At 42.6% G+C, this 26,884-nt stretch overlaps 1 protein-coding gene across 2 annotated transcripts in view; it reads left to right on the top strand.

The window, feature by feature from the left end:
• PRKDC (protein kinase, DNA-activated, catalytic subunit) overlaps nt 1–26,884 on the top strand; it is a 187,026-nt gene that overhangs the window by 153,381 nt on the left and 6,761 nt on the right. The window contains exons 70-80 of one of the 2 annotated variants that reach the window (NM_006904.7): nt 3,276–3,450; nt 5,770–5,963; nt 7,366–7,546; nt 8,359–8,519; nt 12,255–12,466; nt 17,518–17,605; nt 17,707–17,850; nt 21,439–21,643; nt 22,947–23,014; nt 24,158–24,378; nt 24,502–24,594. In NM_006904.7, coding sequence (NP_008835.5) covers nt 3,276–3,450; nt 5,770–5,963; nt 7,366–7,546; nt 8,359–8,519; nt 12,255–12,466; nt 17,518–17,605; nt 17,707–17,850; nt 21,439–21,643; nt 22,947–23,014; nt 24,158–24,378; nt 24,502–24,594 — 1,742 coding nt within the window. The remainder of the gene's footprint in view (nt 1–3,275; nt 3,451–5,769; nt 5,964–7,365; nt 7,547–8,358; nt 8,520–12,254; nt 12,467–17,517; nt 17,606–17,706; nt 17,851–21,438; nt 21,644–22,946; nt 23,015–24,157; nt 24,379–24,501; nt 24,595–26,884) is intronic. The other variant, NM_001081640.2, reaches the window with a different exon arrangement.

Below are 26,884 nucleotides of genomic sequence, written 5' to 3'. Positions count from 1 at the left end.
AATGTCAAGTTTGATCGTTAACAAAATGAATCCTTACCAGTTAGTTACAAATTATTTTTAGGTTTACTTTGTAGGAATTATCATTTAATACTAGGACCCCTTCTTGATATTAAGTATACATTGCTTAAAAATTGCATGTAATCTATTTAAATGTATATAATCTTTAAACATACTACAGAAGCTTGCTATGTTAATGACCCTCTATCAATTGCTATTGCAAGGCAAAGGATGATATTCTAGTAGAAATAATACTTCTTTTTTGTAGCTTTAAATGCTCATTTATAGATTTTTCTTTGGATGAGTGTAATATCAAGTAAGAATTTTTATATTGCAAATAACAGAAAATCCAATTAGAGGCAGGCAGAGCAGGAACTGGATGAGAGAAAAGCAGGGTGTGGCCAGAAGGGGCGATCTGAACTGAAGGACTTAGTGGTGAGGGAGTTGGGGTCATGGGGAGAGGACCCAGTGTAGTTAGGAAACTGTCTGGCATGATGAGGGGAAAGACATGTTCCCTGCCATTGTTACTGTCTAGTAAGAGTGGGGGCTGCACACATGATGACAACAGCACTGGTGGGCAAAGAAGAGAGATGTCAGCAAAGCCTGGAGGGCGCAGGGAAGAGAAGAGCTTCTGCCTTGGACAGGGAGGTGTCTGGGGAAGGGGGATGTGATTTAGGGTAGGCTTTATGGGCATGGAAGGATTTGGACATGGGATGGCACTGGGTTTGCAGAGGGCGGGAGACTGCATCCTTACCGGGATCAGGAGGCCATTGAAGGTTCCATGCATGCTGGCTAGTTGTAAGCTGTGTGGGAGATTGACAGCTCTGGGGAAAGCAAAGGCAGAGAAAGACCAGGAAGCTCCACACTAGGGGAGTGGGGTGGGAGTGAGCAGGGCAAGAGAGGTGCTCTGTAAGGAGATCCAGGAGAACCTGAGGTGACAGGAGTGATGAGAGTGTCTGGCTAGAAACAACTCGGATTTCTAGCCTGGGCGGTTGAAATGGCAGTAATTAGGAAGACCAAAGTCTGATGAAAATGTCTTTTGAAGCTTGAGAGAGAATTAGAGGTGTAGATTTAAAAAGACATCCATATAAGCAACTAAATAAAAAATGGGTCAATTGTATTCAGAATTAAAACTGTCGTGCCTTACCTGAGAAGCTGAAGAATGTATAAAGACAACTCATGTAATGGGAGAAACTATTTCCTGATCACATATCTGATAAGGGTCTAGTATCCAGAATTCATAAAGAATGCTTCACAACTGAACAACAAAGAGTCAAACAACCCAATTAAGAAATGGGCATGAAGTGTTTGAATAGACATTTATCCAAAGAAGATAGGCAAATGGCCAACCAGCTCATGCAAAGATGCTCAGTATCCCTAGGCTTGAGGGAAATGCAAATCAAATCCACAAGGAGAGACCGCTTCACACCCACTGGGATGGCTGGAAGCAAATACACAGATAACAAAGCTTGGAGAAGATGGGGGAAACTGGAACCCTTCTGCACTGCTGGTGGGAATGTAAAATGGTGCATCTGCTGTGGAAAACAGTCTGGCATTTCCTCAAAAAGTTAAACGTAGAGGCTAGTCCAAGTGCAGTGGTTTTTGCAACTAATTGATCACAAACATTTAAGATTTCTTTGTTGATTCTCCACTTCTGATGCTTCACTTGACTATACTTAAAAAAAAAAAAATGTTGAGGCCGGGCGCGATGGCTCACGCTTGTAATCCCAGCACTTTGGGAGGCCGAGACAGGTGGATCACCTGAGGTCAGGGGTTCGAGACCAGCCTGACCAACACGGTGAAACCCCGTCTCTACTAAAAATACAAAAATTAGCCGGATGTGGTGGCACATGCCTGTAATCCCAGCTACTCGGGAGGCTGAGGCAGGAGAATCGCTTGAACCTGGGAGGTGGAGGTTGCAGAGAGCCAAGATTGTGCCACTGTGCTCCAGCCTGGTGACAAGAGCAAAACTTTGCCTCAAAAACAAAACAAAACAAAACAGTTGAACAGAGGTACCATATGACCCGACAATTCCACTCCCAGACCCATGAGAAACAAAAGCTTAAGCTCACATGGAAATTCATACACAAATGTTCACAGGAGCATTATTCAAAATAGCTGGAAAGGTGGAAACAACCCAAATAAGATGTGGCATGTCCAGCCGGGTGCAGTGGCTCAGGCCTGTAATTCCAGCACTTTGAGAGGCCAAGGCGGGTGGATCACTTGACGTCAGGAGTTTGAGATCAGTCTGGCCAACATGGCGAAACTCCATCTCTACTAAAAATACAAAAATTAGCCAGATGTGGTAGCACACACTTGTAATCCCAGGTACTTGGGAGACTGAGGCAGGAGAATTGTTTGAACCCAGGAGGCACAGGTTGCAGTGAGCCGAGATTGTGCCATTGCACTCCAGCCTGGGCAATAAGAGTGAAACTCCATCTCAAAAAAAAAAAAAAAAAAAAGTGGCATGTCCGTGCAATGGAGTATTATTCAGCCATAAGGAGGAAAGAAGTGCTGACAGGTGCTGCAACATGCATGAACCTAGAAAACATCATGCTAAGTAAAAGATGCGAGACACAAAATCACCACTTATTTTCTGATACCATTGTTACAGAATGTCTGGTGTAGGCAAATCCATAGAGACAGGAAGGGAATTTATTGTTGCCAATGGCTGGGTAGTGACTCTGAACAGACAGTGAATTTCTTTTTGGGGTAGTGAAAATGTTCTGGAATTAGGGGTGGTGGTTGTACAGCTTTGTAAATATACTAAAAAATACTGAATTGTACCCACCCTGCCACACCCCCTGGAATTTTTTTTTTTTTTTGGAGACTTGCTCTGTTGCCCAGGCTGGAGTACACAGCAGCTCACTGCAGCCTCAACCTCCCAGGTTCAAGTGATCCTACTACCTTAGTGTCCAGAGTAGCTGGGACTATAGGCACGTGCCATGGTGCTGGCTAATTTTTTAAATTTTTTAGAGACGGGGTCTTACCATGTTGCCTAGTCTGGTTTCAAATTCCTAGACTCAGGTAATCCTCCCTCTTTGGCCTTCCAAAATGCTGGGATTACAGGCCTGAGCCACTAAACCTGGCCTGAATTGTACTCTTTAAATATGAATTATATCCCAGTGATAAATTTAGAGACATAATTGAAGCTAAAGAAATGGATTCGCTACTCTAAGGTGGATTGTGTCGTGCAAAGGGGGAAGCAGGCCAATTAGAAACTTCTGTCACTTGTGTATCATCATACCACCTTCTCTCTTTTTATTGTATTCATACAGAACAATTTCTCACTTGCTATGAAACTACTGAAGGAGCTGCATAAAGAGTCAAAAACCAGAGACGATTGGCTGGTGAGCTGGGTGCAGAGCTACTGCCGCCTGAGCCACTGCCGGAGCCGGTCCCAGGGCTGCTCTGAGCAGGTGCTCACTGTGCTGAAAACAGTCTCTTTGTTGGGTAAGTTGACCGCTTTTATCCACTTATATCTTAAAGGGCTGTGTTATATTGTCTTGTGTATCTTCCTCTTCTTTGTGCTGCATCATCTGACATTTGGGAGGTAAATCTTTGCAGTAATTTCAGGGAATATAGCAAAGTGAGCCAGAGAATGATAGTTTAATTATTTTGAAAACTTTGTGTTTGCATATAAGATGTAAACAAACATGAAAAGCCATTTCAGCCTGGGCGCAGTGGCTCACGCCTGTAATCCGAGCAATTTGGGCGACCGAGGTGGGTGGATCACGAGGTCAGGAGATCGAGAACATCCTGGCCAACGTGATGAAACCCCATCTCTACTAAAAATACAAAAACTAGGCTGGGCATGGTGGCTCACGCCTGTAATCCCAGCACTTTGGGAGGCTGAGGCAGGCAGATCATGAGGTCAGGAGATCGAGACCATCCTGGCTAACACAGTGAAACCCCGTCTCCACTGAAAATACAAAAAAATTAACCAGGCATGGTGGTGGGCGCCTGTAGTCCCAGCTACTCGGGAGGCTGAGGCAGGAGAATGGTGTGAACCCGGGAGGTAGAGCTTGCAGTGAACTGAGATCACGCCACTGCACTCCACCCTGGACGACAGAGAAAGACTCCATCTCAAAAAGAAAAAAAAAAATTACAAAAACTAGCCGGGCGTGGTGGCAGGCGCCTGTCTTCGAAGCTGCTCTGGAGGCTGAGGCAGGAGAATGAACCTGGGAGGCGGAGGTTGCAGCGAGCCAAAATCGCGCCACTGCACTCCAGCCTGGATGACAACAGCAAAACTCCGTCTCTCAAAAAAAAAAAAAAAAAAGCCATTTCCTCCCAAAATAGTTTAGTCTTTAAGACTACATTAAAGGAAGAAAGCTTTCTTGTACAGGTTTGGGTTTGGTCCCCCGCTCTGTTGCCCTGTGTCTGAGGGTGTGTGCTAGCATTCTGATCAGGCATGATCCAGCTGGTTCCCAGACCAGCTCTTAAGCATCAGCCTCAATAAAGGTGTCTAGAGGAGAAGCACTCTTTGTACACTGATCCCAAGAGCAGAAGATCATCCTAGTTGGATGTGGTGGCACGCACCCATAGTCCCAGCTACTGGGGAGTCTGAGGCGGGAGGATGGCTTGAGATCAGGAGTTCGAGGCTGCAGTGAGCCATGATTGTGCCTGTGTGAGTAGCCACTGTATTCTGGCCTGGGCAGTGTAGTGAGACCCTGTTTCTAAAAAAAGAAGAAGAAGAAGAAAATTATCCTTATGATTGCTAAATAATTATATGGGCTTTTTTGAGGGGAAGAGGAGGAGTTTGCTGATGTTAATATTAGTATCCATATACCCATATAATAATAATTACACAGAGTATGGTTGTAGTTCATAACAGCCTTGCATGATAAGCAGGGCCAGTAGTTGTGATCCTGTATGTGAGATAACTTTGGCAGAGAACTGTCACATCATGGGCAAGGAGGGCATGTGGTTGATCAGGCCTCCTAGTTTCAACACTGTTATCGCACCTCTGGACACTGCAGACTTAGCCAGCGCTGGTTCAGTTACTTGCCCAGAACCACACAGTCAAAGCAGAACTAGAACTTTAAATGTAGCAGTGCCTGTTGCTTCATTAGCTATGGGCCACAGTGCCAATTTAAAGATCTACTCTGGATTATTAATATATGTACAAACACATTAGTACCCATTTCCTATTTTTTATAACAGAATTAGGTGCTTTGAAAAATTGCAGAATGATGATGCTTGAATAAAAAGTTAATTCATAAAGTTTCAATTGCTTAGCCTCTGTGGGCTTTGATACAGTTACTTCTAACAAAGAACATTTTTCATTAATATGTGAGTTCAAGAAATTCCCTAGTCAGTATTTGAAGTCAGTTTCTTATACTTTCAACATTTATTTTTATTAATTTCTTAATAGAAAACAACTTTTAGGCCAAGCATGTTGGCTCACACTTGTAATCTCAGTGCTTTGGGAGGCCAAGGTGGGCAGATTGCTAGAGCTCAGGAGTTCGAGACCAGCGTGGGCAACATGGCGAAACCCCATCTCTACCAAAAATACAAAAAATAGCCGGGCATGGTGGTGCAAGCCTGTAGTCCCAGCTAATTGGGAGGTTGAGGTGGGAGGATCGCTTGAGCCTGGTAGGCAGGGGTTGCAGTGAGCCAAAATCGTGTCGTTGCACTCCAGCCTGGGTAACAGAGCGAGACCCTATCCCAAAAACAAAAGAAAAGAAAACTTCTATAGACAATGAATTTCTTCTTTTTAATTCCACACACACATACAAAATTTTGTTTTGTTTTGTTTTTTTAATCCAACAGATGAGAACAACGTGTCAAGCTACTTAAGCAAAAATATTCTGGCTTTCCGTGACCAGAACATTCTCTTGGGTACAACTTACAGGATCATAGCGAATGCTCTCAGCAGTGAGCCAGCCTGCCTTGCTGAAATCGAGGAGGACAAGGCTAGAAGAATCTTAGAGCTTTCTGGATCCAGTTCAGAGGATTCAGAGAAGGTAATACTGGAGGAATGTTTTACGCTAGTGTGCTGTGTATGTCTTCAATGTGCAGTGTTCAGGCTACAGGAAAGTAATAATAAGGATGTTGCTTTGTGTTTTTAAAATATATTTGACAGTTATGCACAGCCAATTTTCTTTTTATTTATGTATTTGTTTTTATTTATTTATTTTCTAAATTATTATTATACTTTAAGTTTTAGGGTACATGTGCACAATGTGCAGGTTAGTTACATATGTATACATGTGCCATGCTGGTGTGCTGCACCCATTAACTCATCATTTAGCATTAGGTATATCTCCTAATGCTATCCCTCCCCCTTCCCCCCACCCCACAACAGTCCCCAGAGTATGATGTTCCCCTTCCTGTGTCCATGTGTTCTCATTGTTCAGTTCCCACCTATGAGTGAGAACATGTGGTGTTTGATTTTTTGTCCTTGCGATAGTTTACTGAGAATGATGATTTCCAATTTCATCCATGTCCCTACAAAGGACATGAACTCATCATTTTTTATGGCTGCATAGTATTCCATGGTGTATATGTGCCACATTTTCTTAATCCAGTCTATCATTGTTGGACATTTGGGTTGGTTCCAAGTCTTTGCTATTGTGAATAGTGCCGCAATAAACATACGTGTGCATGTGTCTTTATAGCAGCATGATTTATAGTCCTTTGGGTATATACCCAGTAATGGGATGGCACGCACAGCCAATTTTCTTATGTGGAAAATTGACATACTCCGTGCTTCCTATTTATTTGAATGACACAAATTTTTTAATATTAAAAATCATGAATTTTAAATTTTTTTGAATTAAAAGAACTGTAGACCGTTCTTTTATGACTTTTGTTAATTAAATTTCCCCACCCATCACCATTCAGACGTCCCACCAGCTTATGGAACAAATCAGCCTTTTCTGCATTTTTATTTAGTGCCTGCTTTGCTTAGCTTCTTGCCGATTATTTTGTTTTTTTCAATAGTTACCTGCTTCCGTCTCATTCACTATGTCCTGCCTCACCTCAGTTGTGGGGCCTTGTCTTCTCCTTCCATGATGCTACTAGCATCTGTGCAGGACACTGAGTGCAGGAGCCGACTTCCATCTCCCTCTTATATTCCCGACAGCCACGCACTCCACTGACCAGACCCAGCTCTGTGTTGCTTGTGCACCATCTGGCCCGCGCTGGGCTTGCATTTTTGTTTGGCCAGTTGTTACCTGCTGAGGATCTTGCTGGAATTGCTTGCTCCTTCACAGCCAGGGTGGACTCTTGTTTTTCCAGTTCCATAGCTTCAGTGTTATTTTGGAGCTGTTGATCCATTTATGTGTCATGAGTCACAAATGGAAAGCAGAGTTCTTTGAGAAAGCTTCAGTCATGCTCATGGGTTTAGGTCTCTGTGAATTCCAGGTGATCGCGGGTCTGTACCAGAGAGCATTCCAGCACCTCTCTGAGGCTGTGCAGGCGGCTGAGGAGGAGGCCCAGCCTCCCTCCTGGAGCTGTGGGCCTGCAGCTGGGGTGATTGATGCTTACATGACGCTGGCAGATTTCTGTGACCAACAGCTGCGCAAGGAGGAAGAGAATGCATCAGGTGAATTGAAAATTAAAAAGCTAGTGTTCCATTATGTCAGCATAAAGTCTTATGAATTTTGTACATACCTTTGGTCTCCTCTTTGTTTGTTTTCAAATTACAAATATTTTGAAAATCCTACTGTCTTTTTAAGAGACAATGGCAGCCGGGTGCAGTGGATCACTTGAGGCCAGGAGTTCAAGACCAGCCTGGCCAACGTGGTGAAACCCCAACTCTACTAAGAATACAAAAAAATTAGCTGGGCGTGGTGGCCCATGCCTGTAGTCCCAGCTACTCAGGAGGCTGGGGCAGGAGAATTGCTTGAACCCAGGAGGCAGAGGTTGCAGTGAGCCGATATCCACTACTGCACACCAGCCTGGGTGACAGAGCGAGACTCCATCTCAAAAAAAAAAAAGAGAGAGACAATGGCCTCTCTAAGCAACATGACCTACATTTAAATGGAGTCAAGTGGTCCTCTGTTTCCATTTGTTTAATTTCTACTTTGATATTTTGCTTGCAGCTTCAATATTACTGGCTCGTGTGGCCTGCTTCATGCTCCTGGAATAAATTCAATAACCACCAGTTGCCCCTTATGTTCCCAGCCCAGGATTCAAACTGTGCTTCATGCAGAATGGGCACTCTAATGGAAGGATTTGGCTCCAGGATAGATACAAAACTGTACCTGGTGTTTGTTGGTGTAAAGTGGTAGTTAAGAAGAGAACAATGACACTACAAAATACAAGCCAAAAAGGGAAAGTGTTAGCATTTAACATCATAGTTTATGGATATTGGGATACATTGACCATTGCTTTCTTCTTTGGTGTCCTTGATAGTTATTGATTCTGCAGAACTGCAGGCGTATCCAGCACTTGTGGTGGAGAAAATGTTGAAAGCTTTAAAATTAAATTCCAATGAAGCCAGATTGAAGTTTCCTAGATTACTTCAGATTATAGAACGGTATCCAGAGGAGACTTTGAGCCTCATGACAAAAGAGGTTGGTGTCTTTATTCTACTTGGCGGTAAGGAACTTTACAGAACTTAAAGATACGCTTATTTATATTCAAACGCGTTAGTGTGTGCAGTGCATGTATTATAGCTTTTCCCAGCCAGCTGTGAATTCTGCTACATTCTGAGGACATAGGTAATTTAAAGCTGCAAAAACGAGTTTTCGCATTTACCCATTTTCCTCTGTGGGTGTTGATAAAAACACTGTGTCTGAACAAGGATCCAGAGAGATGGAGACGGGGTGTGTGGGATGGTAACGGGATCTTGTGTGGGAAACTTGTTGCCCCTGCAGATGAGGCTGTGGCCAGTCACATTTGCTGTGCCCAGTGCTCACCTGTCATTTAGCCCAAAGGGAGTGAGCAAGGTTCAGCTTGCATCCCACCTCCCAGGAGCACAGCATCTGCCAGCAGCACGGTGTCCAGAGGGGTCTGGGAGCATGAGTGAGGGGTCAGCGTATGGACATGGGAGGAACCCGCACCCTTCCATGTGACCTGCCCCTTGGCCCCACCAAGGGCTGCACTGCCAGCTGCACTCCTGTCCTTTGGGCTCTGTCTGTGTGCAGGAGGGTTCCACTGACTTCATTTGCAAAGTGTAGGGCCTCTGAAAGGCTTCGTAGTTGACATTTATAGACGTGTAACTGGAAGATAGGGCCAAGCTTTGAGTTGAAAATGTAATAGTTCAAAAAGGGTTACATGGTTCGTTCTCTATTAGCTTTGCATGGTGAGTTTTTAAATAATGTTGATCTCTGGGCTGCGGGGACCCAGTTTGACTTTTAGGGCCCTAACCACTCCTTCCACCTTTTTCTGCATTCTGAATAGTAGACTTTCTCAGTAGGTATTAAACAGGTTAAGGTAAATTCAGAAGTGCAACATGTATGTGTTTTTCTTCAAGATAAGTGAGCAAATAACTTCATTATGATTTTATTTTTTTCCAATATAATATTTATACATGATAAAAACAGCATTTGAATTTGTGAGGACATGAAGTATTCACTCCACGTTGTCAAAACACCCAGTAGACACGTGCAGTGAAGCCAGTAGCCTCTCTCGTGAGCTTACATGAGCTGTGTGGACTGATCCTTCCTCACACGCCATGCTGTCCTCAGCTCACACGTGCACTCAGGAAGCTTGCCCATACTCAAGCCTCACTCTAGCATTGCAGACACATCAGGTTTTATCTTCAGAAAGACACCTTAAAAGTATCAGAGGAAAATGTGAACACATTTTTTTAAATGGTCTTGGAATGAAGAGACAAAAACCAGAATCCATGAAGGAAAATAGTTTGACTTCTATACAGAAAAAGAAAATACCGTATACAAAGTTAAAAAAATAAAAAGCCAGGTGCAGTGGCTCACGCCTGTAATCTCACCACTTTGGGAGGCCAAGGTGGGCAGATCACGAGGTCAGCAGTTCGAGACCAGCCTGGCCAACACGGTGAAACCCTACTAAAGAAACAAAAATTAGCCGGGCGTGGTGGCGAGCACCTGTAAACCCAGCTACTCGGGAGGCTGAGGCAGGAAAATCACTTGAACCCAGGAGGTGGAGGTTGCAGTGAGCCGAGGTGGCGCCACTGCACTCTAGCCTAGACGACAGAGCAAGACTCTGTCTCAAAAAAAACAACAACAACAAAAAAAAAAATGAAGAAAAACGTTTGCAACACATATAAGAAACAAAAAGCTGACTTCGGCAATCTACAAAATAAATGGTCACAATAGACCAGTAGAAAATGGTGGGAGGAAATGCATGCGTGATTAAAGGATGTAAGGCAAATAAACATGGAACATACAGCCTCACTAATAATGTAAGTTGAAAATTTAAATTAGGTGTTTTTCACTTCTCAGATTGACAGTGATTTTATTTTTATTTATTTATTTATTTTTTATTTTTTTGGTGACGGAGTCTCGCTGTCACCCAGGCTGGAGTGCAGTGGCGTGATCTCGGCTCGACAGTGATTTTAAAAGATGATTATGTGCAGTGTTGGTAAAGACTTTAGAAAGTAGTCAGTCTAATACTTTCAGAAATGAAAATTTGAAAAATTCTTTACCGTGGCTCATGCCTGTAATCCCAGCACTTTGGGAGGCCGAGGTGGGCGGATCATGAGGTCAGGAGATTGAGACCATCCTGGCTAACACAGTGGAACCCTGTCTCTACTAAAAATACAAAAATTAGCTGGGCATGATGGCACATGCCTGTAGTCCCAGCTACTCGGGAGGCTGAGGCAGGAGAATCACTTGAACCCAGGAGGCGGAGGTTGCAGTGAGCCGAGATGGCGCCACTGCACTCCAGCCTGGGCGACACAGTGAGACTCTTGTCTCATAAAAAAAAAAAAAAATTCCATACCAATGTTTATTACAATTTTTAAAGTTGACACTGTAATTTTAGTTCTAGGAATTTATCCTACAGGTATATAGCACAAAGAGTTACGTGTACAGGGGACCAGGCGCGGTGGCTCATGCCTGTAATCCCAGCACTTTGGGAGGCCGAAGCGGGTGGATCACCTGAGGTCAGGAGTTCAAGACCAGTCTGGCCAACGTGGCGAAACTTGTCTCTACTAAAAGTACAAAAATTAGCTGGGTATGGTGACGAGTGTTTGTAATCCCAGCTACTCGGAAGGCTGAGGTAGAAAGAATTGCTAAAACCCAGAAAGCAAAGGTTGCAGTGAGCTGAGATCACGCCACAGCACTCCAGCCTGAGCGATACAGTGAGACTCCATCTCAAAAGAAAAAAAAAAAAAAAAAGGCCGGGTGCGGTGGCTCACGCCTGTAATCCCAGCCCTTTGGGAGGTCGAGGTGGGCCGATCACGAGGTCACGAGATTGAGACCATCCTGGCTTACATGGTGAAACCCCATCTCTACTAAAAATACAAAAAATTAGCCAGGCGTGGTGGCAGGCGCCTGTAGTCCCAGCTACTCGGGAGGCTGAAGTAGGAGAATGGCGTAAACCTGGGAGGCGGAGCTTGCAGTGAGCCGAGATCACACCACTGCACTCCAGCCTGGGTGACAATGAGACTCTGTCTCAAGAAAAAAAAAAAAAAAAGAGTTGGCCAGGCACGGTGGCTCACGCCTATAGTCCCAGCACTTTGGGAGGCCGATGTGGGCAGGTCACGAGGTCAAGAGATTGAGACCATCCTGGCCAACATGGTGAAACCCCCATCTCTACTAAAAATACGAAAATTAGCTGGGCATGGTGGCGCACCTGTAGTCCCAGCTACTCAGAAGTCTGAGGCAGGAAGATTGCTTAAACCCAGGAGGCGGAGGTTGCAGTGAGCCAAGATCATGCCACTGCACTCCAGCCTGGCGACAGAGCGAGACCCCATCTCAAAAAAATAAATAAATAAATAAAGTTATGTGTACAGGGATGTCTACTGCAGCATTACCTGTGATAAAAAATTGAAATATTCATTATAGAGCAGTAAACAACATGGAATACTACATAGCCGCCAGGAGGAATGAAGTAGAAGATTTTTCTATACATCTGTCTAAGAACAACCAGCAGCAGCTGTCTCGTGTGATTCCATTCTTGCAACAAAAGACTGTTCTCCTGCACAGAAAGTGCCTGGGAGAGTCCAGTGGTTGCCGCAGCAGAAGAGAGCTAGGGGATGGAAGACTTGTTTTGTACTTGCGTTTTTATACTTCTGAGTTTTCTTTATTTTGGACATATGTTACTTTTATAACAGATGATGTGAGATGTTTTACTCAGCATTAAGTTTCAGCTCTCTGTTTTAGATCTCTTCCGTTCCCTGCTGGCAGTTCATCAGCTGGATCAGCCACATGGTGGCCTTACTGGACAAAGACCAAGCCGTTGCTGTTCAGCACTCTGTGGAAGAAATCACTGATAACTACCCGCAGGCTATTGTTTATCCCTTCATCATAAGCAGCGAAAGCTATTCCTTCAAGGATACTTCTACTGGTCATAAGAATAAGGAGTTTGTGGCAAGGTAGGTAATATTACAGAAGGAATAGGTTGATCAAATACTATAGGTTATAAAAATGTGGTTAAAGCACACACGTGGACACTACATTTGTTTTCAAATTAATTAGAGTTGTCATTGAAGAATAATCTTAGCCGTCGCTTTGTTGAATATATCTATTCTGGGTATGTTACTTGTTATAGGATGTATCTCCTTTAAATACTTTCATCTTACACTGCTAACAAAACATTCTGCTCATATGGTCATGATTGCTTGGGATAGACTAGATGAGATGATTTTTGAAATCAGCTCCTGAAATTGTCCTGTAATTTAAAATACACAGAACGACTCTTCCTTTTAATTAGGACTCAGTAGATGGCCTCAAGTGTCATCCTGTCCACTCTTAAACGGATTTATGAGTTGAGACCGATGATGAGTGAGCAGTAGTGCGCAACTATTTCAAGGATGCTTTGTACACAAACTGTGTAGTGTTGTAGTGACATTCTCCATCATGAGGTTTTGGGGTTTTTTGTTTGTTTTTAATTATGAGCAGATCTGCCTCATTATTTTGAATGTATTGATTTCAACAAGATGAAGAAAAGCGCTGGCATCTTTTTTTTTTTTTTTTTTTTTAGTTTTTTTAAATTAATTTATTTTTATTTTTATTTCTTTATTTTTTATTTTTTTTTTGAGACAGAGTATTGTGCTGTCACCTAGTGCAGTGCAATCTCGGCTGCAACCTCCACCTCCCAGGTTTAAGCAGTTCTCCCTGCCTCAGCCTCCTGAGTAGCTGGGATTACAAGCGTGTGCCACCATGCCCAGCTAATTTTTGTATTTTTAGTAGCGACAGGGTTTTGCCACCTTGGCCAGGCTGGTCTCGAACTCCTGACCTCAGGTGACCTCAGGTGATCCGCCCACCTTGGCCTCCCAAAGTGCTAGGATTACAGGCGTGAGCCACCATGCCCAGCTGAGGCCCAGCTTCTGTTGCAGTTAATGGGTGGCTTATCTGTGAACACACCCCTGCCCTACTGAGGCCCTGCCCACCATACTGTTTCTCTGAACAGACAGCTATTGTCTTGAAAAATGAAAGAAGAGAAAAAGATGTGAGAGACAGTGTGTCAAGAAAGTGACCTTGCTGGGCATGATGGTCTGTGCCTATAATACCAACTACTTGGGAGGCCGAGGTGGAAGAATCGCTTGAGGCCAAGAGTTCATGACCAGCCTTGGCAACATAGTGAGATCTCATCTCTAAAATAGTAAAATAAAAATAAGCTAAGCATGGTGGTGCGTGACTGTACTTCCAACTACTTAGGAGGCTGAGGTGGGAGAATTGCTTGAGTACAGGAATTCAAGGCTGCAGTGAGCTATGACTGAACTTGTGAGTTGCCACTGCAGTCCAACCTGGACATCATAGTGAGAACCTGTTTTTTAAAAAGTGACCTTTTCTTTCATAATGTAACTTCAGAAACTATATATCGCGTTATATACGTCAAAACGTCAACATCAGTTGCAAGATTTGCTTTTATCTAAGAGCAGCTCTTTTTTTATTTTAATTTTTAATTTTTATGGGTACATAGTAGGTGTCTATGTTTATGGGGTACATGGGATATTTTGATACAGGCATACAGTGTGTAACAATCACATCAGGGTAAGTGGAGTATCCATCACTTCAAGGATTTATCATTTCTTTGTGTTATAAACATTCCAGTTATACTCTTTTAGTTATTTTTAAATGTACAATAAAAATTTACTGTAGTCAGGCCGGGTGCGGTGGCTCACGCCTGTAATCCCAGCACTTTGGGAGGCTGAAGTGGGCGGATCAGGAGGTCAGGAGATCGAGACCATCCTGGCTAATGCGGTGAAACCCCATCTCTACTAAAAATACAAAAAATTAGCCGGGCATGGTGGCAGGTGCCTATAGTCCCAGCTACTTGGGAGGCTGAGGCAGGAGAATGGCGTGAACCCGGGAGGCGGAGCTTGCAGTGAGCCGAGATCAAGCCACTGCACTCCAGCCTGGGTGACAGAGCAAAACTCTGTCTCAACAAAAAAAAAAAAAAAAAAATTTTACTGTGGTCACCCTGTTGTGCCACTAAATACTAGATCCTGTTTTTCCTAACTATATTTTTGTGCCCATTAACCATCCCCGCTTTCCACCTCCCCTCCCCACGAGTTCAGTTGTTTTAATTTTTAGCTTCCACAAATGAGTAAGAACATGTGAAGTTTTTCTGTGCCTGACTTATTTCACATAATGTCCTTCAGTTCCATCCATGTTGTTTCAAGTGACAGGATCTCATTCTTTTTTATGGCTAAATAGTACTCTATTGCATGTATGTACTGCATTTTCTTCATTCATTTGTCTGTTGATGGACACTTAGGTTGCTTCCAAATTTTGGCCGTTGTGAATAGTGCTGCAATAAACATGGGAGTGCAGATATCATACTGATATCCTTTCTTTTGGGTATATATCCAGTAGTGGGATTTCTGGATTATATGGTACTTCTAGTTGTAGTTTTTTTAGGAATCTCCATAGTGTTCTTCATAGTGGTTGTATGAGTTTACATTCCCACCAATAGTATACAAGGGTTCCTCTCTCTACATCCTTACCAGCATTCGTTATTGCTGGGGGTGAGATGATACCTCGTTGTGGTTTTGATTTGCATTTCTCTGATGTTCATTGATGTTGAGCATGTTTTTATATACCTGTTTACCATTTGTATGTTTTCTTTTGAGAAATGTCTATTCAGATCCTTTGCCCCATTTTAAAATGAGATTGGATTTTTTTTTCCTGTTGAGTTGTTTGAGCTTGTTATGTATTTTGGTTGTTTTTTGTTTGTTTGTTTTTGAGGCGGTGTATTGCTCTGTTGCCCAGGGTAGAGTGCAGTGGCGCAATCTCTGCTCACTGCAACCTGCGCCTCCCGGGTTCAAGCGATTCTCCTGCCTCAGCCTCCTGAGTAGCTGGGATTACAGGCAGGCGCCACCATGCCCCGCTAATTTTTGTATTTTTAGTAGGGACAGGGTTTCACCATGTTGGCCAGGCTGGTCTCGAACGCCTGACCTCGTGATCTGCCCACCTTGGCCTCCCATAGTGCTGGGATTACAGACATGAGCCACTGCGCCCGGCCATATTTTGCTTATTAATTCCTTGTCAGATGGGTAGTTTGCAAATGTTTTCTCCCATTCTGTGGGTTGTCCCTTCACTTTATTGTTTCCTTTGCTGTGCAGAAGCTTTTTGACTTGATGTGATCCTCCTGTTTGTCCATTTTAAATTTGGTTGCATGTGCCTGTGGGGTATTACTGAAGAAATCTTTGTGCCCAGACCAGTGTCCTGGAGAGTTTCCTGTTTTTGTTTTTGTTTTTGTAGTTTTATTGGTTGAGATCTTAGGTTTAAGTCTTTAATCTATTTGGATTTGATTTTTGTATGTGGTGAGAGATAGGGGTCTAGTTTCATTATTCTGCATATGGATACCCAGTTTTCCCAGGACCATTTATTGGAGACTGTCCTTTCCCTGATGTATGTTCTTGGCACATTTGTGAAAAAATGGATTCACTGCAGGTGTGTGAATTTATTTCTGGGTTCTCTATTCTGTTCCATTGGCTTATGTGTCTGTGTTTATGCCAGTGTCATGCTGTTTGGGTTACTATAGCTCTGTAATATAATTTGAAGTTAGATAATGTGATTGTGCCAGTTTTATTCTTTTTGCTCAGGGTGGCTTTGGCTTTTTGCTCTGGGTCTTTTGTGGTTCCATACAAATTTTAGGATTATTTTTCCTATGTCTGTGAAGAATGTCATTGGTATTTTGATAAGGATTGTGTTGACTCTGTAGATTGCTTTGGGTAGTGTGGACAGATTTAACAGTATTGATTCTTCCCATCCATGAACATGAAGTAACTTTGCATTTCTTTGAGTCCTCTTCAATTTCTTTCATCCATGTTTTACAGTTTTCATTGTAGAGATCTTTCATTTCTTTGGCGAAGTTTATTCCTAAGTATTTTCTTTTATTTGTGGCTATTGTAAATAGAATTACTTCTATGATTTCTGTTTCAGATTGTTCACTGTTGGCATATAGAAATGCTACTGATTTTTGTATGTTGATTTTTGTATCTGCAGCTTTACTGAATTTATCAGTTCTGATGGTTTTGTGGTGGAGTCTTTAGGTGCCTCCAAATATAAGATCGTATCATCTGCAAGCAAGGATAATTTGACTTCTTCCTTTCTAATATAGATACCCTTTATTTCTTTCTCTTGTCAGCTTGCTCTAGCTAAGACTCCCAGTAGTATGTGGAATAACAGTGGGCATCCTTAACATGTTCAAGATCTTAGAGAAAGGTTTTCAGTTTTTCAGTGTTCAGTATGACACTAGCTGTGAGTGTGTTGTACATGGCTTTTATTGTGTTGAGATATGTTCCTTCTATACCTAATTTTTTGAGAGTTTTTTTTATCATGAAGGGATGTTGAATTTTATCAAATGCTTTTTCAACATCCGTTAAAATGATCAGTGGTTTTTGTCCTTTATTCTGTTGTGTAGATATGATTGATTTGTGTATTTGATCTATCCTTGATTGATTTGATCTATCCTTGCATCTCTAGAATAGGTCCCACTTGGTCATGATGAATAATCTTTTTAATGTGCTGTTGAATTTGGTTTGCAAGTATTTTGTTGAGGATTTTTGCATTAATGTTCATCAGGGATATTGGCCTGTAGTTTTCCTTTTATTTGATACGTCTTTACCTGGTTTTGGTATCAGGATAATACTGGCCTTGTAGAATGAGTTTGGACGTATTCCCTCCTCCCTTGTGTTTTGGAATAGTTTGAGTAGGATCGGTATTAATTCTTTTTTAAGAACCTCATCTCTTGATAGAATAGATGCTTCTTGCTTCATTTAACATTGGGTGGAATTTTAAATTACTATGTAGTTGGTTATATATATATGATATGTATAAATTATACTTAGTTATATATAACATACATTATTTTATATATGTATAATATATAACTTATATATGTATGGTATATAAAATATATATTGATTTTTGGAAGATATTTGATTGCCTAAACTTTGTAAATTTTTTTAAATAGGATTAAAAGTAAGTTGGATCAAGGAGGAGTGATTCAAGATTTTATTAATGCCTTAGATCAGCTCTCTAATCCTGAACTGCTCTTTAAGGTAATGATAGAACGGCTTCTGGCACATAAAACATATAAGTTGGGTAAAACTTAATTGCAATCTAGCTTGATTTTTTTCTTACTTTTTTTTTCCCCTGACAGGATTGGAGCAATGATGTAAGAGCTGAACTAGCAAAAACCCCTGTAAATAAAAAAAACATTGAAAAAATGTATGAAAGAATGTATGCAGCCTTGGGTGACCCAAAGGCTCCAGGCCTGGGGGCCTTTAGAAGGAAGTTTATTCAGGTATGGACTGGCACAGCCTGCTATTTTGATAGCAGAGTCGTTGTGACAGTCAATAGTTACATTATTAAATGTAATAATATTTGTATTAAATGTAATCATTAATTTAACAGTTCTGCATTTAAAATGTCTGTTGAATGCTTTAGGTCTCATGCTTTCTGTGACACATTGATAACATTTTTAGGTCGGCTGGTAGCAGGTGAGTCAGTAGGTAAAACCTCAGAGTTTCATTACACGTTGTTCATGCTCAGATTTTTAGATCTGAAAGTTACATATAGATTGGGATTTCCAATTCTTCAAATGGCTTGAATATTGGGCCAAGAAAATATTTGTGTGTTAAATAAGCTGATAAGTATTTTCAAGCACTTAGTTCGGGGCACAGTTCTGGGTGCTCAGGAGATACATGGAGAAGACAGATCCAGTCCCCAAATACAAAGGGGTTATGTGACAAAACTGCTCACCAAGAGCTGTGCCTAGGACAAGTGTGGTAAGTGTGAGATCTTTCAGAGGGTGCTGGAGTTGGAAGGGAAACACACCATCATTTGATGAGAATGATGGAGCAAGTAGACTGCAGTCAGCCCAGTTGCTACACCTTTGCAGCCTGCTTGGCTCCTTCTCTCCCTCCTCCATCTGGAGACTTGCCCTTGGGCTTGGCGTCAGCATCATTTCTCCTTTAGAGCCTTTCCCAACCCTCCCCACGCAGGGATCTCCAGAAGAGTCGAATGTTCTTCCTCTCTCACCTAAAACAGCTTACTTTACAATCTCTCTGTTTAGCATGGGTCATACTGACTTTTCTTTCTAGTTTTTGTCAAAATTACTTTTATTCATTAAACCTCAAGAAATTTAAGGGCATAGATAAGTCTTGGAACTCTTGTTGCCAGAGTTCTCAAGTTCCACCATGTATAGGGCAAAGGAAGAGCTTTATCCTTTTTAAATAACTGCTTTGTTACTATATAATTCACATGGTCCTTAAGTCATCCATTTAAAGCATACAATGCAGTAGTTTTACATATATTCACAGAGTCATGAAATCATCACCATATCAATTTTAGTACATTTTCATCACCAGAAAAAAGAAACCCATACCCATTAGCAGCAGGGCCTCCACATAGCCTCCAGCCTAGCCTGCCCCCAGCACACTGCTACCTCAGCCAGTGTGCACGTTGTGTCGGAATTCATGGCCACTTTGTTGCTGGAAGCCCTGAGACTTCCCTGCAGGGCTGTCCATGGGGAGCACAGTTCTTACCCCTGCAGCAGCACCTGATCCTGCCCAAGCCTGCAGGGTGCAGAAAGGCCTCCCTTGTTCCTTTCAGGCAGGAGATGTGTTTGGAGTTTTATTTCTAGTACCTTAGAAAATCTATCCAGAACTTTTCCACCTTGTACCAAATCAAAAATAACTTGCATTCGTTCAAAGAATAATCTACCAAAGCGAAGTGCCTCAAATATCACTTTAGAGGATCCTTAAGGGCATTATGTCTTTCAGATAGGATGATGCTGATTATGTTTGGAAATAGCTAATCTTTCTAAGAATTGAAAATTGTTTTCTACATTTTTCATCCACTTACAGATCAAAGAAGAAATCTGTTTTATATATGTCAATTTTCCTATAGTGGATTGTCTTAAAATAGAGCACGTTTGATTTACACCAGATTTATGTTGTGACATTAGTTACAAATTTGGTAAAAACATTTCTAATTAGAGATGATCAGGTAAATCTTGACAACTGTTGAGTAACTGCTAGTAATGCTCTTGAGATTTATTTTTTATTTGATATCAGATTTATAATTCAAGTAAATATCTGAGTAGAAGCTAATGCAAAGAGATAATTACTATATTCTAAGGTAGAGTACTTATAATAATTGCTTTTAGAAATAAACATATCTGCTGGGCATGGTGGCTCACACCTGTAATCCCAGCACTTTGGGAGCGCGAGGCGGGCGGATCACTGGGTCAGGAGTTCGAGACCAGTCTGGCCAACATGGTGAAACCCATCTTTACTAAAAATACAAAAATTAGCCAGGCACGGTGGTGTGCACCTGTAGTCCCAGCTACTCAGGAGGGTGAGGCAAGAGAATCACTTGAACCCAGGAGGCAGAGGTTGCAGTGAGCCGAGATCGCACCACCGCACTCTAGCCTGGGTGACAGAGCAAGACTCTGTCTCAAAAAAAAAAAAAAAAAAAAAAAAGATTAAATAATATTTTTTCTGGTTTATTACCCAAAATAATAGCTTGAAAGACTCTTAATAAAGAAAGTAGCATTCTTAAATTTTTCTCTTCAGCTGGTATCAGAAATTATGAGCCATTTATTTCTATTGAACTACTTCCTTTATTTTGTTGTTTTTAACTTTGTTCCTAGTTATTTGTGTCATCATAATGATGTAGACCACTAACTAGACAATGAGTGCACAGAGGTTAAATGACTTCGCCAAGTTTTTAAAGCCCTTATTAGGATTTATAACTAAAAGTCACTACTAACCATGTTTTTGTTTTTTGTTTTTGAGACTGAGTCTCGATCTGTCGCCCAGGCTGGAGTGCGGTGGCATGATCTCGGCTCACTGCAACCTCCGCCTCCCGGATTCAAGCAATTATTCTGCCTCCGCCTCCTGAGTAGCTGGGACTACAGGCGAGTGCCACCGCGCTTGGCTAATTTTTTTTATTTTTAGTAGAGATGGGGTTTCACCATATTGGCCAGGCTGGTCTTGAGCTCCTGACCTCGTGATCCACCCACCTCAGCCTCCCAAAGTGCTGGGATTACAGGCATGAGCCACCGCGCCTGGTCAACCATGTCATTTATTTATTTATTTGAGGTGGAGTCTCACTCTATCACCCAGGCTGGAGTGCAGTGGCGCGATCTCGGCTCACTGCAACCTCCGCCTCCCGGGTTCAAGTGATTCTCCTGCCTCAGCCTCCCGAGTAGCTGGGATTACAGGCATGAGCCACCACACCCGACTAATTTTTTGTATTTTAAGTGGGTACAGGGTTTCACAATGTTGGCCAGGCTTGTCTCGAACTCCTGAGCTCAAGTGATCCACCTGCCTCGGCCTCCCAAAGTGCTGGGATTACAGGCATTAACCGTGTCACTTATAATGGAACACAAGAAACAAAAGGCAGACTGGATGTTTTAGAGTATTGAAATATTCAAGGAAAGCAAAACTATAATTTTTTTTTTTTTTAGAGACACGGTCTCACTCGGATACCCAGGCTGGAGTGCAGTGGCATCATCATAGTTCACTGTCACTTCAGACTCCTGGGCTCAATAGCGATCCTCCCACTTCAGCCTCCTGAGTAGATGGAACTACAGGCATGTGCCATCACACCCAGCTAATGTTTTTATTTTTTGTAGAGTTGGGGTCTTGCTATGTTGCCCGGGTTGGTCTCAAACTCCTTGGCTCAAGTAATCCTACTATCTTGGACTCCCAAAGTGCTGGGATTACAGGCATGAGCCACCATGCCCAACCAAAACTATACATCTTAAAAGCAGAGAAGAAACATATACCATTGAGCACTCCATTCATTACACTTATAAGCTTAGAGCCTTTTCCAAAGTCCAAACTAAACATCAGTCTTTATAGTAAATTCTTACTAATTTCAGACTTTTGGAAAAGAATTTGATAAACATTTTGGGAAAGGAGGTTCTAAACTACTGAGAATGAAGCTCAGTGACTTCAACGACATTACCAACATGCTACTTTTAAAAATGAACAAAGACTCAAAGCCCCCTGGGAATCTGAAAGAATGTTCACCCTGGATGAGCGACTTCAAAGTGGAGTTCCTGAGAAATGAGCTGGAGATTCCCGGTGAGTTAACCTCCAGGGGTGACAAAACTGTACTGTCAGGAGCACAGCACTGTAATAAGAACTCGTGGTTTCTGGAATAGTGATACTGGGATATTGACAGTTATTTCTTTTTTTAAAGAATTTTAAAATTCACCGAATTTTTCATCATTAGGAAAATCCATAATTATGAATGAGCACACATTACTAAATGTTTAATGAGATTATAGTTCTTATATTTCTGATTCTGACAAAAGTTCAGATTTTCATTTGGTAATAATGGTAAACAGCAATCATAGATTTCCTCTGAATGTATTCATGCTATGCTCCTGAATAACTTTTCTTCAGAAATATACAGGTATAGAGGCAGATTACTTCCTGGGATGTGTACACAGTTCCATTTAAAGTGACAAGTTTTTAAAAAAAAAAAAAAGTGACAAGTTAATGATAAGTCACTGACCTGCAGGAAAAAAGATCATAATATTAAGGATAGAGATGCACAGCAAATTGGCCAGATTTCAAGGCGTGACTTTTTCAGAGGAAACCTGTGTACATTCCATTTTCCTCACCCCGAATTTGCCAGAGGAAAAAAAGTTTTAATCTGGTTGTTCATATTCTCATTTCAGTGGGTATAAGAAAAAACATATTTGGAGAAACACTTTTCTTTGTTATTAATAATGACTATGCAGTTGCATATGGTTCATTTCAAGAAAAACATTTAAATGTCAGCCTTGTCATATGCAGCTTGATTGGCCTTGAGAATATGCAGTGTTCTAGTCAATGCATCATTTTTTCTACTTAGGATTTGTCCATGCTATTAGAATAGAGTGCTAACTTCCATAATCAGTCAAAATGAGAAATAACTTTTTTTTTTTTTTTGCGATGGAGTCTTGCTGTGTCACCCAGGCTGGAGTGCAGTGACGCAGTCTCGGCTCACTGCAAGCTCTGCCTCCCGAGTTCACGCCATTCTCCTGCCTCAGCCTCCCGAGTAGCTGGGACTATAGGCGCCCACCACCACACCCGGCCAATTTTTTGTATTTTTAGTAGAGACGGGGCTTCACCATGTAAGCCAGGATGGTCTCTGTCTCCTGACCTCATGATCTGCTCGCCTTGGCCTCCCAAAGTGCTGGGATTACAGGCGTGAGCCACTGTGCCCGGCCGAGAAATAACATTTTTTTTAAAGTCAGTTCCCTTTAAGTGAAAACTTTTCAGTAAAAGGTTTTATCATGTTAGATTGGCTTTTTAAAAAGTAGATCAAGAGGCATGTTTTAAAATACAGGCGGTTGTCTAACAAGCTGTTCCTAAGCAAGGTTCTGGTTTGTTTTAGGTCAGTATGACGGTAGGGGAAAGCCATTGCCAGAGTACCACGTGCGAATCGCCGGGTTTGATGAGCGGGTAGGTGTGAGGGTGTGTGACCCAGTCCCTGTCCTGATGAACGTTCTTCAGATGAGAATGATCTGTTTGCCTTTAGTATATGAGACAACGGCCCATGTTGATCACAGATATATCAAGTTTAGCATATTTACTGAATTCCTCTTTTTTTTTTTGAGACGGAGTCTTGCCCTGTTGCCTGGGCTGGAGTGCAATGGGACGGTCTCGGCTCACTGCAACCTCTGCCTCCCGGGTTCAAACGATTCTCCTGCCTCAGCCTCCCGAGTAGCTGGGATTACAGGCGCACGCCATCACGCCCAGCTCTGTTTTTTGAATTTTTAGTAGAGACAGGGTTTCACCATGTTGGCTAGGCTGGTCTTGAACTCCTGACCTCATGATCCATCCACCTCCGCCTCCGCAAAGTGCTGGGATTACAGGTGTGAGCCACTATGCCCGGGCTTTTTTTTTTTTTTTCTTTTTTTTTTTTGAGACAAGAGTCTCATTCTGTCAGCCAGGCTGGAGTGCAGTGGCCCATTCTCAGCTCGTTGCAACCTCCACACCCTGGGTTCGGGCGATTCTCCATGTCTCAGCCTCCCTAGTAGCTGGGATACAGGTGTGCGCCACCATGCCTGGCTAATTTTTGTATTTTTAGTAGAGACAAGGTTTGACCATGTTGGCCAGACTGGTCTCGAACTCCTGAGCTCAAGTGATCTACCTGCCCCATCCTTCCAAAGTGCTGGGATTACAGGCGTAAGCCACTGCTCCCGGCCCTGGGTTTCTTAATATATTATGTCTCCAGTGTTTGAACAACAGTTCTATTTAAGATATCATAAACTCAAAGAGTAAGCTGTGTGTGAGTATCCACTATAAAATATGTGTAGCATTAGCTTACTACTGTAGAAAGTTTGCATGTTGGCTGTTGCTGCTTGCTAAAGATATCCACATTCATAAGCAAGTATTTATAATCAGGAATACAACATTTCTGCGGGCACAGCAGTCAGGCACAAGCAGGTAGCAGAAATTCGTTGCTGGCCTGGGCGCTCTGCTCTTTGGCACTGTCTTCAGAGGGCGGCCCCACGGAGGAATGCTCACAGCCACTCTGGCTTTTCCCTCTGAGTTTGACACGTGGCTAGCCTGTGCCCTGAGATGACATTCTGATTTTTGAAGGTGACAGTCATGGCGTCTCTGCGAAGGCCCAAGCGCATCATCATCCGTGGCCATGACGAGAGGGAACACCCTTTCCTGGTGAAGGGTGGCGAGGACCTGCGGCAGGACCAGCGCGTGGAGCAGCTCTTCCAGGTCATGAATGGGATCCTGGCCCAAGACTCCGCCTGCAGCCAGAGGGCCCTGCAGCTGAGGACCTATAGCGTTGTGCCCATGACCTCCAGGTAACTGCCAGGCTGCTCCCAGCCAGTAGGCTGCTGCATATTGCTTGGCGTCCACGGGACTGTTTTTCTAGTGAAGAAAGAGCAGTTTGGGTTTACTCGTTAACCTTTTATTCTCCCTTTCAGGTTAGGATTAATTGAGTGGCTTGAAAATACTGTTACCTTGAAGGACCTTCTTTTGAACACCATGTCCCAAGAGGAGAAGGCGGCTTACCTGAGGTAAGGGCGGCCACACGCCCTGCTCCCCCAGCAGTCGCCTCCCCTCACTTCTCCAGTGGCAGGTCGGGGCCGTGACAGGCGCGCTCGAGAGCCCACACTGCCTGCCCCGCAGTCTGCTGGCTGGGTCAATAAACCAAATGGAGTGCTGGCTGCTAACCAGTAGTTGCAGATATTTTACCGTAATACAAAATATTTATTAACTTTGGGTGGGGGGAAGAAAAATTGTTGAAGGAAATAAATAATAATAAAATTATCAGATAACATGTAGTAAAACATTTTCTGTGGGCTAGGTACTGTTCTCAATTTTTAACGTGTATGAACCAATTTACTTCTCACCAACAACCTGCAAGGTAAGTATTATTATCACTGCTATACAGATGAGGAAGCTGAGGCCCAGAAAGGTCAAGTAACCTGTCCTGTGTCACTTAGCCTGTAAAGTGGGGTAGCTGGGATTACTAGTAATTCTAGGTCATGATGTGGATGCTTTTTTATTTTTCTGTATCCTTTTCTCTATTTTCCAAGTTTTCTACAATTAACATGTACATTTTAACCACAAGGTTTTTTTTATTTCCTTTTTGTTTTTGTAAAGAAAAACAAGGACAACATGAGAAACATTTTGAGGGTTGACAGATTTTGACAACCAAAGTTGACAGGTTTGGGTGACAAGCTGTAGGATAAAGGAACAGCTTCAGGGCTTCTTTCTCTTTGATGTTCTCTGATTCTTTTTTAAAAGTTTTTAAATAGGAGCAGTGTTCCCTTCAGTCAGGAAAGATTTCTGAAAATATCAAACATATTCTTATCAAACTCATATTCCCAGGTGATAATTACTCTACAGGGCAGTGTTCACCAACTTTTAGTTCCAGACATTTGAGTCCTTTGCTTAGAATTGTTTCTACTTTCCCTGGAAGACAGGGCAACTGATGAGCACGCTTCCTGGAGTCTCACAAATTGCAGATCTGGCCCTGGCACTGAGGCTCTGCCTGACAATGCAGGTGCCAAGCAGGTGTCGCCTTTCCTGTGGTACCTGCCTGCATTTGTGGGATGGAATGGTAGCGTGGAACCGCACAGGATTAACATAGGTACCAGGAGAGTTGAAAGCACCTTACATAATGGAATTATGAAAATAATTTCCAACTGCCTTTTTACAGGGCACTTCCAATACCCATTATTTAAATCCTTGCTGTTTTTTTTCTTAATTCAGCATGTTACAGTGTTTTGTTTTTTTGAGACAGAGTCTCTCTCTATCACCAGGCTGGAGTGCAGTGGCGTGATCTCGGCTCACTGTGGTCTCCGCTTCCCGGGTTCCAGCAATTCTCCTGCCTCAGCCTTCCGAGTAGCTGAGATTACAGGCGTGCACCACCATGCCCAGCTAATTTTTGTATTTTTAGTAGGGATGGGATTTCACTATGTTGGCCAGGATGATCTTGATCTCTTGACCTCGTGATCCGCCCCCATTGGCCTCCTAAAGTACTGGGATTACAGGCCTGAGCCACTGCGCCCGGCCTACAGTTTTATAACCTAAGAATTTTCATCTCAGTTTAAACTAGGAGGAGAGAATTTTAAGATGGAGTGGACTACTTTTAAAGCTAACTTTAATAGCAACTCAGAAAAGATTTCACCTGAAGTGATTGAATTGCTAAGTCACACGTGAAACTGTTCTGTCTTTAGATTTTATCGGGAAAACTTGTTAAAGCTTTCCACACAAAAGTACTTAAACATACGTGTATCACATTGTTTCCCATTGCCCAGGTACTGCCTTTTTCCTAGGAAACACTGAAAACAGCTTTTCAAGTTCACTTAAACATCCATTGTCATTTAAGAAAATATTTTCTCATAGGAGTGCAGAAGCCTTATTGGAAGAAAAAAGAAAAACAAAATATTTTCTCATACTTACTATGGATTGTGTGTATATCTACCTATTGGAAATATAAAGAAAGATGTGGCACTGGCTGGGCGCAGTAGCTCACGCCTGTAATCCCAGCACTTTGGGAGGCCAAGGTGGGCGGATCGCCTGAGGTCAGGAATTCGAGACCAGTCTGGTCAACATGGCAAAACCCTGTCTCTACTGAAAATAGAAAAATTAGCTGGGTGTAGTGGCGGGCGCCTGTAATCCCAGCCACTTAGGAGGCTGAGGCATGAGAATTGCTTGAACCCAGGAGGTAGAGGTTGTAGCAAGCCGAGATTGCACCAATGCACTCCAGCCTGGGCGACAGAGTAAGACTCTGTCTCAAAAAAAAAAAAAAAAAAAAGACAAAACAAAACAAAAGAAAAAGAGGCCAGGCGTGGTGGC

Source organism: Homo sapiens, chromosome 8 (genome assembly GCF_000001405.40).
Source record: "Homo sapiens chromosome 8, GRCh38.p14 Primary Assembly".
NCBI lineage: Eukaryota > Metazoa > Chordata > Mammalia > Primates > Hominidae > Homo > Homo sapiens.
The sequence above is the reverse complement of the archived record's forward strand: the minus strand, read 5'-3'. Positions and strand labels throughout refer to the sequence as shown.